Source organism: Homo sapiens, chromosome 4, assembly GCF_000001405.40.
Source record: "Homo sapiens chromosome 4, GRCh38.p14 Primary Assembly".
NCBI classification, from domain to species: domain Eukaryota; kingdom Metazoa; phylum Chordata; class Mammalia; order Primates; family Hominidae; genus Homo; species Homo sapiens.
The window spans coordinates 38,386,623-38,403,588 of NC_000004.12; positions in this window are offsets into that span (position 1 = coordinate 38,386,623).

A 16,966-nucleotide genomic window follows, 5' to 3' on the forward strand; every position below is an offset into this window, starting at 1 on the left:
ACATGTTAAATAAAAGCGCCCTCAGTATCTTTAAACTAGAGATTGATGTACACTTTAACCTTTTAAAACCACGTAAAGTGAAGTCTCCCATGTAAATATCATTCTTAATGTGGAATATCCACACTTGAAAGTCACACATTGCTGGGGTTCAACCTCAGCTTCACCACTCATAGCATGTGACTGTGGCCAAGTTACTTCACCTCTCTGAGCCTCAGTTTCCCCATCTGTAAAATGAGGGCAGTGATAGCACCTGCCTGATTAGACTTAACTGAGTTGCTACACAGAAAGCCATGAGGAAGTCCTGCCACTCAGCAGGTGTTTCATGGCTCTTAGCTTCCTAAGCCTTCTCTTTCCTTCCTACTTCTGGGACCACGTGGTTCAGCCAGCATGGAACAAAAGAAAATTTGACCCACTTTGTAGCTTTAGATGCCTCAGCTTTATGCCAAGTAAGTTGTAACCTCAAACAAATGGGACCCAGAGAGCTTATGGCTGTTTCTGCCTTTCTCATATTTATTTATTTTTTAAACAAATACTTGTATAATGCTTACTATGTGATAGGCATATTCTAAGCACTTGGCAAATACCGACTCATCCAATCTTTTATAACAACCCTATGAAATATATAGTATTATTTATTATTCCCATCTTACATTTGAGGAAGCAGAAACACAGAGAGCTTAAGTAACTGGTCCAAGGACCATAACAGGTACCTGCACAGCCAAGAACTGAACCCAGACAATCTAGTCCATTCCCTCAGTAGGTCTCATGGGTGTATTATTTATTTGGAAGGCCTGCTGAAACCAAAGCAGCCAAATGAAATACCAGGGCCAGTTCTGCACAGACTAAAAAATAACAGCAGGGCCAGAAGTACTGAAGTTGCAAAACCCTCTGCTGATAAGCTTTCACTGCCAGAACCTCAGACCAGAGAGATCTAGATGAAGTTGACTGAATAAGCAAGCTGATTTCCAGTCCTTTGGCACACTGCCCTCTCTCCACTCCTACCACCTAAAAGGGTGCAGACTCCTCTCAGGTTTCTTCATTCTTCCTCACTCTCTTGGCTCAGTGAATGTGAAATTGCTGGCTGTTGCAGCCTAAGTGGGTGGAAGGGTGGCTGGAGGACGGAGAGCATTCAAGTAGTCAAAGAAAAAAAGAAATAACTTGTTTTAACATTTTAATAACTCTAATTTTTAAAATTATCAAAGCAATACCTTTTTTTTTCTTTTTTTTGACAAAGTCTCACTCTGTCACCCAAGTTGGAGTGCAGTGGCACGATCTCGGCTCACTGCAACCTCCACCTCCCGGGTTCAAGTGATTCTCCTGCCTCAGCCTCCCAGCAATACCTCTTTATAGCAGACATTGCAAAGTGGCTGACTCAGCCCCAATTCCTAACACACACATCCCCATCCCTCCTTCCACTTTCCAGCTGGGGATGGCCATGTGACACAAATCTGGCCAGTTAATGTTAAATCTGTGATGGCGTTCTCGTTTGTGTTTTCCTGAGACAGTCCTTCCTGTTCCTTTCCTCTCTCTTTGAATGAATGTGTGATAACTGGTGGGTACAATGACCACATGAAGGCCATGAAGGAAAAGCCATAAACATTTCAGACATTGGTCTTGGCATTGTTGAGCTGCTGAACCACTATTGTTTGAATTTTTGTTACTTACAGCCAAGGACAATCTTATCTTTACAAAGTTCATTATTTTAAAAAGTTAGAAAATACAGGAAAAATAATAACAATGGGGGAAAATAGCATCTGTAATCCTACCATCCAGAAATAACTAAAATCAATATTTCAACATATATTCCTTCAATTTTTCCTCTTTTTTATTGTTTTACAAAAATTTGGAGTAACGCTCCAGAAATAGTTTTGTAACTGATTATTTTACTTACCAATGTGCTATGGCCATTTTTCTATAACAATTATTCATCTACTTATCATTGCATGGATGTTCCAAGGTTTATCTAGCCATTCCCTATTGTCAAATATTTGTTATTTTCCATTTTTAACCATGGTAAACAGTAATAGTGTGAACATGTTTGTAGATGCATCTTTATCTGATTATTTCCTTAGGATAAATTCCTAAAATTGCTGTGAATTGCTGGATTAAAGGGAATGCACATTTTATAGGCTTTACGGACCTATAGATAAAATGCCGTTCATAAAGGTTTTACCAGATTTTCTGCATTCACTTATATTGTGTGCCTTTTTGTTACATCACTATCAACACTGGGATTTAAAAATGTCTGTCAGCTCAATACGCAATGTATAGATTAATTTAAACTAATTTAATAATTTATTGTTTGACATTGTATTAGTCCATTTTCACGCTGCTGATAAAGACATACCCAAGACTGGGCAATTTACAAAAGAAAGAGGTTTAATTGGACTTACAGTTCCACATGGCTGGGGAAGCCTTACAATCATGGTGGAAGGCAAGGAGGAGCTAGTCACATCTTACATGGATGGCAGCAAGCAAAAAAAGCTTGTGCAGGAAAACTCCCTCTTATAATAACTATCAGCTCTTGTGAGACTTACTATCAGGAGAACACCAGGGGAAAGACCTGCCCCCATGATTCAATTACCTCCCACTGGGCTCCTCCAACAACACATGAGAATTCAAGATGAGATTTGGGTGGGGATACAGCCAAACCATATCAGACATATTTCCATGACATCATTTCCCATTTTCAATTCTATGAATTACCTATTATGTACCAAACACTGGTCTAGGCAGTTTGCATATTCTTTTTTTAAAAATCTTCACAAACCATTATCTTTTATTTTGAGTGAGTAAACTATGGCTCACTCATAGTAAGGGGCTAAGTTACTTGTCTGAGATCACACAAACTGGTAAGTGATCAAACTAGGGTCCATAACTAGGTCTGCCTGACTCCAAAGTAGAAACTATAATAAAGGTTTTTGTTTGTTTGTTTGTTTTTAAAAAAGATGCTACATAAGTTCTTCAGGTTCTGGTTGAATCAATCAGGAACCAGTGAGAGAAAGACAGCTCTCTCCAAGGAGTAATTGAAGAGAGTTCATGGAAAGCACTATTTGTGGAGGTGTGGGGAGGAAGAAGGGACCAGTCAAAGGGTAGAGAAACACCAAGGCAGTATCAGCAGCAGAAAGCTGCTGTAATCCCAGGCCTGGAGGGGTAGAAAGAGGGCCCTCTTTGGCAATCTGGTGAGATCTGCAGCAGTGGGAGAGTGGCAGCTATGTGACCATAGAGTCACAGCTACTGTCAAACCACAGAGCAGCCTACAGACATTATACCCAACTCTGATCTCCTATTGGTGCCTCCTATTAGCCAAATCCAACCAGAAGCCAGAGGACAATGAAGTCTGGAAGTATTGTCCATGAAAATCAACCTCCTGGACACACAAGAAAGGAAAGTAGGGTGGAGAATGGACCTGCAGTGCTCCAGCCCGTTTGCTCCCTATTCCCTTTAGAAGAGCAGAGCCATATCCTCCCACAATGAACTGTTGATGTACTTCAAAACCCACATGCAAGGCTGCTATAGAATTAAATGCAGCCATGTAGGGGAAGGGCCTAGTACAGTTTGGTGCATAGTAAACACACAATAAAAATGAGTTATGATTATTTCATATTTAGAATTAATATTCTACACAAATCATACCAGGAGATTCTACTTATCCTTTTTTCTACTGGCAACTTTCAGCCCTCAAACTGTTGGCCATAAAACAACAACCATAAAATCCAAAAACAAAACAAAAGAAAGAAAAGGAATGGGGATAAAATGAAACATTTTTCCTTGTTGGGCACATGGCTGGGCATGTTTGCCAGCCTTCCTCATTCTAAGGTGTGGTCCTAGGACCAAATGCCAGCTGATGAAATGTGAACAGAAGTGAGAAGCACAACCTCTAGGCCTGGCCTATATAACCTCTAGGCCTGGCCTATATAAACTTCTCCTGTGCATTCCCCCAGGCTGTCTCCCCTTTGCCAGTTCAATGTCAATGAACAGACCATCTGATACGATTTGGCTCTGTGTCCTCACCCAAATCTCGTGTTGAATTTTTATTCTCAGTGTTGGAGGTGGGGCTTGGTGGGAGGTGATTTGATCATTGGGTGGTTTCTAATTATTTGGCACCATCCCCCTAGTGCTGTCTCATGATAGCATTCTTATAAGATCTGGTTGTTTGAAAGTGTGTAGCACCTACCCCTTGGCACTCTCTCTCTCCTACTGGTCATGTGAAGATGGTGCTTGCTTCCCCTTCACCTTCCACCATCAATGTAAGTTTCCTGAGGCCTCCCCAGGAGCAGAAGCCTGTATATCCCACAGAACCGTGAGCTAATTAAACCACTTTTTAAAATAAATTACCCAGTTTTAGGTATTTTTTATAGCAGTGTGAGTACAGACTAATACAGCACCCTCAGGATCCCTGTTCTGAGAAAGATGGAACTCCAGTCTGTCTGTATTTGAGCAGAGTGCCTGCTCCATCCAACCCTATCTGACCTGAAATTGCCTTAGCTGTTCATGGAAATGTGAAATAAAAGCTGATGCTGTTAAGCAATCTATATATTAGAGTTTTGCAATAGCAGCTAGTGGCACCCTCATTAACACAAGGAACAAACATATGAGTGCAAAGCTCAGACAAGGACCCAGAGCAGGACTGACAGAAACAAAAAAGTGCATAATGAGGCTTCTCTAGAAGGAGCCCTTCTGTTTTAAGGTGATATGGTTTGGATCTGTGTCCACACCCAAATATCATGTTCAGTTGTAATCCCCACTGTTGGATGTGGGGCCTGGTGGGAGGTGACTGGATCATGGGGGTGGGGCTCTCATGAATGGTTTAGTGCTATTCCTCCTTGATACTGTATAATGAGTGAGTTTTCATGAGATCTGGTTGTTTAAAAGTATTTAGTACCTCCTCTCTCTCCCTCTTGATGCTACTTTTGCCATGTAAGATGCATGCTCTTGCTTTGCCTTCTGCCACGAGTAAAAGCTCCCTGAGACCTCCCCAGAAGCAGTTGCTGCCATGCTTCCTGTACAGCCTGTGGAACCATGAGCCAACTAAACCTCTTTTCTTTGTAAATTACCTAGTCTCATGTATTTTTCTATAGCAATGCAAGAACAAACTAATACAGAAAATTGGTACCAAGGAGTGGGGCATTGCTATAAAGATACCTGAAAATGTGGAAGTGACTTTGGAACTGGGTAATGAGCAGAGGTTGGAAGAGTGTGGAGGGCTCAGAAGAAGACAGAAAGATTAAGGAAGGTTGGAACTTTCTAAAGATTTGTTGAGTTATCATGACCAAAATTTTGATAGTGATATGGACAGAGATGACCAGGCTGAGGTGGTCTCAGATGGAGATGAGAAACTTATTGGGAAATGGAGAAAAGTTTACTTTTGTTATTCCTTAGGGAAAAGCTAGGTTGAATTGTGCTCCTGCCCTAGGGATTTGTGGAACTTTGATCTTGAGAGAGGAGATTTAGGGTGTCTGGTGGAAGAAATTTCTCAGCAGCAAACCATTCAAGATGTGACGTGCCTGCTTCTAAAAACATATGCTCATATGTGTGAGCAAAGAAATGACCTGAAATTGGAACTTATATTTCAAATGGAAGTAGAGCATAAAAATATGGAAAATTTGCAGCCTGGCCACATGGTAGAAAAGAAAAGCCCATTTTTAGGGGAAGAATTCAAGCAGGCTGCAGAAATTTGCATAAAAAGGGAGCCAAATGATAATGGCGAAGACAATGAAGAAAAGGCCTTGAAGGCATTTCAGGGACTTACTTGGTAGCCCCTCCCAACACAGGCCCAGAGACCTAGGAGGACAGAATGGTTTCATGAGCCAGGCCCAGAGCCCCACTGTCCTGTGCAGCCTCAGGACACTGCTCCCTGCATTCCAAATGCTCCAGCTCCAGCCATGGCTCAAAGGGGCCCAGATACAGCTCAGGCCACTGCTTCAGAGGGTTTCCATGTGGTATTAAGCCCCAGGGCACACAGAGTGCAAGAGTTGAGGCTTGGGAGCCTCCACCTAGATTTCAGGGGATGTATGGAAATGCCTGGATGTCCAGGCAGAAGCCTGCTGCAGGGGAAAAGCCCTCATGGAAAACCTCTACTAGGGCAGTGCAGAGGGGAAATGTGGGGTTGGAGCCCCCACACAGAGTCCCCACTAGTTCACTGCCTAGTGGAGCTGTGAGAAGAGGGCCACTCTCCTCCAGACCCAAGAATGGTAGATCCACCAACAGCTTGCACCCTGAGCCTGGAAATGCTACAAGCATCCAACACCAGCCCATGAGAGCAACTTTGGGGTCTGAACCCTGCAAAGCCACAGGGACAGAGCAGCCCATGGCCTTGGCAGCCCACCCCTTGCAACAATGTGCCCTAAATGTAAGACATGGAGTCAAATAAGATTATTTTAGAGCTTTAACATTTAATGACTGCACTACCACATGTTGGATTTGCACGGGGCCTGTATCCCCTTTCTCTCTTTTGGAATGGAAGTGTTTACCCAATGCCTATATCTCTGGTGTACCTTGGAAGTAACTAACTTGTTTTTTTTTTTTTTTTTCTTGAGATGGAGACTCACTTTGTCACCCCGGCTGGAGTGCAGTGGTGCTATCTCGGCCCACTGCAACCTCCATCTCCTGGGTTCAAGCGGTTCTCCTGCCTCAGCCTCCTGAGTAGCTGGGATTACAGGCATGCACCACTATGCCCAGCTAATTTTTGTACTTTTAGTAGTGACAGGGTTTCACCATGTTGGTTGGCCAGGGTGGTCTCAATCTTTTGACCTCGTGATCCACCCGCCTCAGCCTCCCAAAGTGCTAGAATTACAGGCATGAGCGACCGTGCCCAGCCAGAAGTAACTAACTTGTTTTTGATTTTACAGACTCATAGGTAGAAGGAACTAGCCTTGTCTCAAATGAGACTTTGGACTTTTAAGTTAATGGTGGAATGAGTTAAGAATTTGGGGGATTGCTGGGAAGGCATGATTGTAGTTTGAATTTGAGGTAGACATGAGATTAGGGAGGGGCCAGAGGTGGAATGATGTGATTTGGATCTGTGTCACCACCCAAATCTCATGTTCAATTGTAATCCCCAATGTTGGAGGTGGGGCCTTGTGGGAGGTGATTAGATCATGGGGGTGGGGCTCTCATGAACGATTTAGCACCATCCCCCCTTGGTATGGCACAATAAGTGAGTTTTCATGAGATCTGGTTGTTTAAAAGTGGGTGGCGCCTCCCCCACACTGTCCTGCTCCCACTGTGTAAGACTCCTGCTCCTCCTTTGACTTCTGCCATGAGTAAAAGCTCCCTGAGGCCTCCCCAGAGGCAGATGCTGACATGCCTCCTGTACAGCCTGTGGAATCATCAGCCAATTAAACTTCTTTTCTTTATAAATTATGCAGTCTTAGGTATTTCTTTATAGCAATGTGAGAATGGACTAATACATAAGGCCACTGATCTTTCTCTGATAAAAATTTAATTTCAGTTTACATGAATTATTATATTCTACCAAAAATCTCTACCAAAAATTCCTTTAAAAGAATAGAAACTACCAGAAGTCAGAAGCCTGGCACTGCATGTCATCAGTTTGATAAGGTTTGGTGCCTGCATTAGCCTGTGCTCAGAGCACAACTGTAGGGTCAGACTGCCTGGGTCCCCTCCAGGCTCACCCCTCATAGCAGTGAACCTTAGGCAAGTGACTGCACTTTTCTGAGTTAATGTGTGCAAAGAGTTGAAAACCATGTCACACACATAGCCAGCTCTCAATGCAGGCTGAAGAAATGAATAAAGTGTGAAGAGGAGAGAGATTGTTGGTCCTTCTCCTCTCCTCTCTTCAGAGAAGACTATCTCTAACTCTTCGTGGTTCCTTCTTTCTCAGAAGGAGGTTGGTGAACAGTGATTTGGAGGAACAGGGGACAAAGAAGGAAAGGGGCATGGACATGATCAGCCACATGCCTTATGCCCTTCTTCTCTGAGGTTCTCCCTCTGTGACAGTCCCCCAGATCTCTTGTGGCTCCCAAGGATTAGCACTGTACATAGAGACCATACTCTGGATCCAGGCTGCCTGGTTTGAATACTGACTCACCTGCCACAAAGCATCTAGGACAATGCCTGGCCTGTGATTCCTTCAGCACTAGTTAACACAGAGAGACATGGTGGACAAAGTCATTGCCTCCACTCCTCAGATGCCAAAATAGGTCTCACCCTGAAGAGGACCCTGCTCCATCCATTACTGTTTGAGTACCACTAATTCAGAAAAAAACAAATTTAATGGTTTATGACTCTCACGTATAGACTGGAAGAGACAGAAAATATTTACAATTGGTGGGGAACAGCCCCCTGCCCTTATCCTGTGAAGGTCATGGATGCATGGATAGATGGATGGATGGAGGGATGGATGGATGGATGGATGGATGGATGGATGGATGGATGAAACCTTACACCAGGTTTCAACTGCATAACAGGGCCATGCCACCGTTGCTAACTTTCCCATCAGTTAAATGAAGAATTCCATTTATCCCACAATCGCAAGAGAGGGAAGTAATGACTACAGGACATTAACGTATATAAACCCAAGAGCTTCTATAAAATGCATGTAATAAGGCAGGACATATTTTCAGTTACACATTCCATCAATTTATGTCCCCTAAAACTTAACATCCCCATACAATGAAATTCTAATATAGGCCGGGCTTGGTGGCTCACGCCTGTAATCCCAGCACTTTGGGAGGCTGAGACGGGCGGATCACGAGGTCAGGAGATCGAGACCATCCTTGCTAACACGGTGAAACCCCGTCTCTACTAAAAATACAAAAAAATTAGCCGGCCGTGGTGGTGGGCACCTGTAGTCCCAGCTACTCTGGAGGCTGAGGCAGGAGAATGGCATGAACCTGGGAGGCGAAGCTTGCAGTGAGCAGAGCTTGTGCCACTGCACTCCAGCTTGGGCAACAGAACAAGACTGTCTCAAAAAAAAAAAAAAGAAATTCTGATATAACATGGTTTGTGTATAAAGAAGGTGTTATAACTGCATAGCTGCTGGGGTTAACATGAAGCTCCCTGACCTTAGTGTCTTGGTGTCATGTCATAGCGTGGGTCAAGAGGAGCATTTAAGAAAAATGCATAGGCTGAGAGATGGAGACAGAAAGAGTCTTCAGGTCCACTGACTATGTGCCAAGTGCTTAATGGGTGGCACCTCATTTAATCCTCACTAAATCTATGTTTTACAAATAGCCTTCAAGAAACCATCTGTTCCTGTGATAAAAGCATGCCTTAGGAATTATAATAACCTGGACTTAAAACTGGACCTTGCCACTTTCCAGCTGTGTGATTTGGGAGAAGTTATACAGCCTCTCTGAGTCAATGAGGAGTAAATGAACTAACACATGTAAAGCACCTGGTTTGTAATAGGTGCCTTAGAAATATGATTTCCTTTCCTTTCTTACTTCTTTCTATTAGTGGTTCTCAACTTTGGCTGCACACTGGAGTCACTTGAGGATCTTTAAAACAAAAACAAAAACAACAACCAAAAAAACCCTCTTGCCTGAGTCCTTCCTCCAGGGATTTGGATTTAATTGGTCCAGGGTGTGGTCTGGCCATGGGCATGGGGATCTTTAAAAGCTCTTCTGGGTGAATCTAAAGTGCTGCCAAGGTCGAAAATCACTTGTCTTCATTGAATCACCTGGTATCACATAGGGAGTTAGTGGGTGATGCAATAATAGAATTGTTAATCACATTGGGCAGAGTTATCAGAAATGGGAATTCTGGAAACTGCGGTTGCTCCCTTCTGCTATCAAGGGAAAGGGTAACCTTTCCCTTAATAATGAGATATATAATAATGGGTAACCTTTCCCTTAATAAAAAGAGCTACCTCAGCCAATTGTCCTCCAGGGGAGTGCCAGCGGTTTTATCTCGATAGGGGATACCATTTTGGGGAAACCTATTCTTTAGAATAAAGTAAATGGCTTAAAGAGCCCATAGGTGTAATTCTTCAAGGTAAATGCATGTTCCAGGAATCAAGATAATGGCCAGAGTTCTGCTGTCACAAGGGAGAGCTGAGGTTCTGGACTGAGCACGTTCTTGCCTTGCCGTGTGATGCTTAAGGCAAGTTTCTTAAACTCACTGAGCTTCAATTTCCCAGTCTGTTAGGGACATAACCACTTTTTAAAAGAATGGTCCAAAAGCTTAAGCTTTTCAGGAAAAAGAAAAGCCATATGCATCTGCACTCATGTTTATACATAGAATTTTAGGAAGTTCATGGGCCATGGTACATTTTTCTTAAATAGATAAGCCCTGAATCCCTTCCAGCTTCATAAAAGTATTTTACTCCTATTTAAATATTGTTTACAGGTTCCATTATATGGTTGGGCTCTCCTGGAAGGTTGCTGAAGAAAGAGGGACTTCTGAGAGGCAGTGCAGTTGAGCAGGAAATAACGGTGCTACATCTCTGGACACGGTGAACATTTCAAGGACCTCGGGTCTAGGCAGTCCAGTTAAAGTATCTAACAAATCTCCTCATAAAAAACAATCAAGCCAAATAGTTAAAATCTGACCTCAATTCTCTTTTCTGGAATTAGTGTCATTAAAATGATTTTCAAAGTCTAATATTAGAAAATCTACATTTTGTTATCATGTTCAAAGTCACAGACCTCTGTGAACCAGCCAAGCAGGCTGGAAGGCAAAGTTGTACACTGAAATCCACTTCTTCCAGCAGCTCACTTTGTCATCTGAACCCAGGCAAGTTGTTTCACCTCTCAGTGCCCTTGCCTGTAAAATGCAGATAACAGAGCCAACCTCACAGGGCTGGTATGAGGAATAGCTAATGAAACGTGATAATGACATGCCCAATTTAAATGCAAAAGGCTGTAAAACAACAAAAAGCATATTTAAACATTTCCACTGCTAGGAGATGGTGGTGGGGGAGATAATAGGGCCTTGAGAAGAGAGCATTTATTTTTCTCTCTAGTGTACCCTTCAGTTAATCAATGAATATTTATTATTCTATGTGCCAGGCGCTGTGCTAGGCTATGGGAAACATAGAAGTCTTCGTTCTCATGAAATTTACAGTCAGCCATTCTAGGCATGACATGTAAAATCCAGCGGAAAATACGCTAAATCACAGCTCCCTCTCATTTCTATCTGTCTGTATATCAGACAGCGTGGGTAACTTTGGGAAATGCAAACGTTTATGAGACACATCACTACCCTTTAAGAGTTTGAATCTCATCATAAAGAGAAGACGTAGGTGAAGCATAAACGATCCAAGGCAGCGTAAGATCCAATGCCAAGTGAACATTCAACTTTCAACTTTCTCTTTCATTTGTGTTTCTTTTCCATTTGGGCTGCTTTCTTTCTTTCTCTTTCTTTTCTTTTCTTTTCTTTTTTTTTTTTTTTTTTTGAGATGGAGTCTCGCCCTAGCACCCAGGCTGGAGTGCAGTGGCACAATCTTGGCTCACTACAACCTCTGCCTCCCGGGTTCAAGTTATTCTCCTGTCACAGCCTCCCAGGTAGCTGGGACTACAGGCACGAGTCATCACACCCTGCTAATTTTTGTATATTTAGTAGAGACGGGGTTTTACCATGTTGGCCAGGGTGGTCTTGAACTCCTGACCTCAAGTAATCTGCCTGCCTCGGCCTCCCAAAGTGCTGGGATCACAGGCCTGAGCCACCACGCCCAGCTGGGCTGCTCTCTTTCTACACTCTCCTTAACCTCTAAGAATCTCTTCCAGGTTCATCCATGTTATCCCTAATGGCAGAATTTTCTTCTTTTCCTTCTTTTTAAAGATGGAGTAACACTCCATTATGTATACTACATTTTCTTTATCCATTCACCCATCAGCAGACAATTAGGTTGATTACATCTTTTGACTATTGTAAATAATGCTGCAATGAACACTGGGGTGCAGATATCTCTATTCATTCATTCATTCATTCATTTTCATGCATTCATTTTCTTTGGATCAGTACCCAGAAGTAAGATTGCAAAATCATATGGTAGTTCTATTTTTAATTTTTTGAGAAATCTGCATACTGTTTTGCATAATGGCTGTACCAATTTCCCACCAACAGTGTGCAAGAGTTCCCTTTTCTCCATATTCTTACCAATGCTTATCTTTTGTCTTTTGGTAATAGCCATGAGATAATGTCTTATCATAGTATATACTGTATATACTCTTTGGTGTCTGGCTTTTTTGTTGCAACATAATATTATTGAGATTCATTCATTTTGCTGCATATATTAATAGTATGTTTTGGGGATTTTGGTTTGTTTGCTTCTTCTTATTTTTATTTTTTTGCTGAGTAGTATTCCCTTGTATGAATATATTGCAATTTGTTTATCTATTCAATTATTGATGGGTATGTGTCTTATATCCAGGTTCTGTTTATTATGCTAAAGTTGTTATAAATGTTATTATGCAAATCTTTTTGTGGATATATGCCTTTTATCTCTCTTAGGTAAAAACCTAGGAGTAGAGTTGATGAATTATAGTGAGGTGTATGTTTAGGTTTATAAGAAACTACCAGAACTTTTGCCAAAGTGAGTTGTAACATTTTATACTCTTACCAATAATGTGTGAAGTTTCCAGTTGTTCTACATCCTCACTTGGTATTAGGTATTTTACTTTTAACCATTTTTTTTCATTAATTTTAACTTTTCTTTAAGATCCAGGGGGTACATGTGCAGTTTTGTTACTGGATATATTGTGTGATGCCGGAGTTTGGGTACAATTGACCCCATCACATGAGTACTCAGCATAGTACCCAATAGTTAACTTGTCAACCTTGTCCGCCTCCTTCTCTCCCAACTCTAGTAATCCCCAGTTTCTCTTGTTGCTATTTTTATGTCCATGAGGACCCAGTGTTTAACCCTTGTAAGTGAGAACATGCAATATTTGGTTTTCCGTTTCTGCGTTACTTTATTTAGGATAATAGCCTCCAGCTGCATCCATGTTGCTGCAAAGGACATTATTTCATTCTTTTTATCATGGCTGCATAGTATTCCATAGTGTGAATTTTTGTTTTTGTTGAAATTGCTTTTGGGCAGAGTTCCCCAAGCCCTGGGCTGTGGACTGGTACTAGTCTGTGGCCTGTTAGGAACCTGGCCGCACAGCAGGAGGGGAGGTGCAAGAGAGGATTACCACCTGAGCTCCACCTCCTGTTAGATCAGCAGTGGCATTAGGTTCTCATAGGAATGTGAGCCCTATTGTGAACTGCACATGAGAGGGATCTAGGTTGCCTGCTCCTTGTGAGAATCTAATGCCTGATGATCTGAGTGGAACAGTTTTGTCCTGAAAGCACCCCCGGCCTGCCCCACCATCATGGAAAATTGTCTTCCACAAAACCAGTCCCTGATGTCAAAAAGGTTGGGGACCCCTGCTCTTGAGGACTTAGTCAAAAATACTTTCCCAAGGTCAATGTTCAGAATGGTATTTCCAAGGTTTTCTTCTAGGATTCTTATGGTTTGAGGTCTTACATCCAAATCTATTTCAAGTTAATTTTTATATATGATCAATGGCAGGGGTCTAGTTTCAGTCTTCTGCATATGGCTAGACAGCTATCTCAGCACAATTTATTGAATAGGAAGTCCTTTCCCCATTGATTTTTTTTCGTCAGCTTTGCCAAAGATCAGATGGCTATAGATCTGCAGCTTTATTTCTGGGCTCGCTATTCCGTTCCATTGGTCTGTATGTCTGTTTTTGTACCAGTACCATACTGTTTTGGTTACTGTAGTCTTATAGAATAGTTTGAAATTGGGTAATGTGATACCTCCAGCTTTGTTCTTTTTGCTTAGAATTGCTTTGGCTATTCGGGCCTTTGTTGTTGTTGTTGTTCCATATGAATTTCAGAATAGTTTTTTTCTAATTCTGTGAAAAATGACATTGGTAGCTTGAAAGGAATAGTGTTGATTCCGTAGATGGCTTTGGGCAGTATGACCATTCTAACAATATTGATTTTTCCAACTCATGGGCATGGAGTGTCTTCCATTTGTTTGCGTCATCTATGATTTCTTTTGGTAGTGGTTTGTAGTTCTCCTGGAAGGGATCTCTCACCTCCTTGGGTAGATGTATTCCTAGGTATTTTATTTCATTGTGGCTATTGTAAATGGGATTGAATTCTTGATTGGGCTCTCAGCTTGAATATTATTGGCATGTTATCATTGGTCCAGGAGCTTTTTGGTGAAGACTTCAGGGTTTTCTAGGTATAGAATCATATCGTCCATGATGAGAAATCATTTGACTTCTTCTTTTCCTATTTGAATGCTTTTTATCTCTCTCTCTTCACTGACTACTCCGGCTAAGACTTACAGTGCTATGTTGAATAGGAGTGGTGAGAGTGGGCATTCTTGTCGTGTGCCAGTTCTCAAGGGGAATGCTTTCAGTTTTCCCATTCAGTGTGATGTTGACTGTGAGTTTGTCATCAATGGCTCTTATTTTGAGGTATGTTCCTCTTGTGCCTGGTTTCTTGATGTTTTCTTTTATCATGAAGGGATGTTGAATTTTTTCAGAAACTTTATCCACATCTACTGACATGATCATGTGGTTTTTGTTTTTAAAATTCTGTTTATGTGGTGAATCACAGTTATTTGTGTTCGTTGAATCAACCTTGCATCTCAGGAATGCAGCCTACTTCATCATGGTGAATTAACTTTTTGTTTTGAGACAGAGTCTTGCTCTGTCACCCAGGATGGAGTGCAGTGGCGTGATCTTGGCTCATTGCAAGCTCTGCCTCCTGGGTTCATGCCATTCTCCTGCCTCCCGAGTAGCAGGGACTACAGGCGCCCACCACCAAGCCCAGCTAATGTTTTGTATTTTTAGTAGAGATGGGGTTTCACCGTGTTAGCCAGGATGGTCTCTATCTCCTGACCTCGTGATCCGCCCACCTTGGCCTCCCAAAGTGCTGGGATTACAGGCCTGAGCCACCGTTCCTGGCCAGTGAATTAACTTTTTAATGTGCTGTTGGGTTTGGTTTGCTAGTATTTTGTTGAGGATTTTCACAACTAGGTTCATCAGGGATATTGGCCTGTAGTTTTCTTTTTTTCATTGTGTCTCTTCTAGGTTTTGGTAGCAGAATGACGCTGGCTTCATAGAATGAGTTAGGGAGGAGTCCCTCCTTGATTTATTGGAATAATTTCAGTAGAATTGCTACCAGCAGTTCTTTGTACGTCTGGAAGAATTCTACTGTGAGTCTCTCTCATCTGAGGCTTTTTTTGGTGGGTAAGTTTTTATTATTATTATTACAGATTCAGTTTTGGAACTTGATACAGGTCTGTTTAGGGTTTCAATTTCTTCTTGGTTCAATTTTGGGAGAGTGTGTTTCCAAGAATGTATCAATTTCCTCTAGATTTTCTAGTTTGCGTGCATAGAGATGTTCATAGTAGTCTCTGAAGATCTTTTGTATTTCTGTGTGGTCAATTGTATGTCACCTTTGTCATTTCTGATTGTGCTTATTTGGATCTTCTCTCTTTTTTTTTCTTTGTTAATCTAGCTAGCAGTCTGTCAATCTTGTTTATCCTTTCCAAGAAATAACTTTTGGTTTCATTGATTATTTTTATGACATTTTGGGTCTCAATGTTCTCTGGTTTTACTTCTTTCTTTCTTTCTGTTGGCTTTGGGGTAGTTTGTTCCTCCTTTCTAGTTCCAGGTGTGATGTTAGGTTGTTAATTTGAGATCTTTCTAACTTCTTGGTGTAGGCATTTAGCCCTATAAATTTTCCTCCTAACACTGCTTTTGCTGCATCCCAGAGATTTTGATATGTTGTGTTTCTTTTTTAATTTATTTCAATAATTTTTTATTTCTGCCTTAATTTTGTTGTTTACCCAGAAGTAACTCAGGAGCAAGTTGTTTAATTTCCATGTAATTGTGTGGTTTTTGAGAAATCTGGGTATTGATTTATATTTTTATTCTACTGTGGTTGGAGAGTATGCTTGGTATAATTTTGATTTTTTTTATTTATTGAGACTTGCTTTATGGTCAAGCATATGGTGGATCTTAGAGTATGTTCCACGTGCAGATGAGAAGAATATATATTCTGTGATTGATGGGTGGTGTATTCTGTAGATGTCTATTATGCCCAATTAGTCAAGTGTCGAATTTAAGTCAAGTGTTGAATTTAAGTCCAGAATTTCTTTGTTAGTTTTCTGTGTTGATGATCTGTCTAATGCTTTCCATGGAGTGTTGAGGTCCTCCACTGTCTTTTCGTAGGTCTAGAAGTACTTGTTTTATCAGTCTGGGTGCTTGAACATTGCGTGCGTACTTTTAATCATTTTAATCAGTGTGAAATAATTTCTCATTGTTGTTCTGATTGGCATATTCATGATGAATAATTACATTGAGCACTTTTTCAAATGCTTCTGACAGTTTCTGTGTCTTATGAAGTATCCGTCCAAATCTTTTTTCTGTTTTTTAATGCAATGTTTTATCTTTTTAACTATTAAGTTATTGGAATTCCTTATATATTTTAGATACAAATCTCCTGTTAAGTAAATGTTTTTCTCGTTCTGTGGTTTTCTTTTTCATTTTTTAATGGTGCTTTTGAGAAGTAGAAGTTTTTAGTTTTGATGAGATCCAATATGGCAATTTTATTTTCTTTTATGATCAGTATCTGTATTAAGGTTCTCAAAACCAATAGCGTATTTATGTATTTGTGTGTGTGTGTGTGCATGCGCATATGTGTGTGTGTGTGTGTGTGTGTGTGTGTGTATACACATATATAGACAGCCAGAGAGGCAGAGATTTAATATAAGGGATTGGCTCATGTTATTAGTGGAGGTTGAGAAGTTCCAAGATTTGAAGCTGGAGACCAGGACAGTTGATGGCATTATGTTCTAGTCCAAGGGCAAAAGATGACCAGTCCCAACTCAAGCAGTTAAGTCAAAAAACTTCCCTCTTACTCAGTCTTTTTGTTTTATTCGGGTCTTCGATCGACTGCATGAAAGGCATCACAAGGAGTGGACAGTATGCTCTACTCAGTCTACCCATTCAAATGTTAATCTAATCCAAAA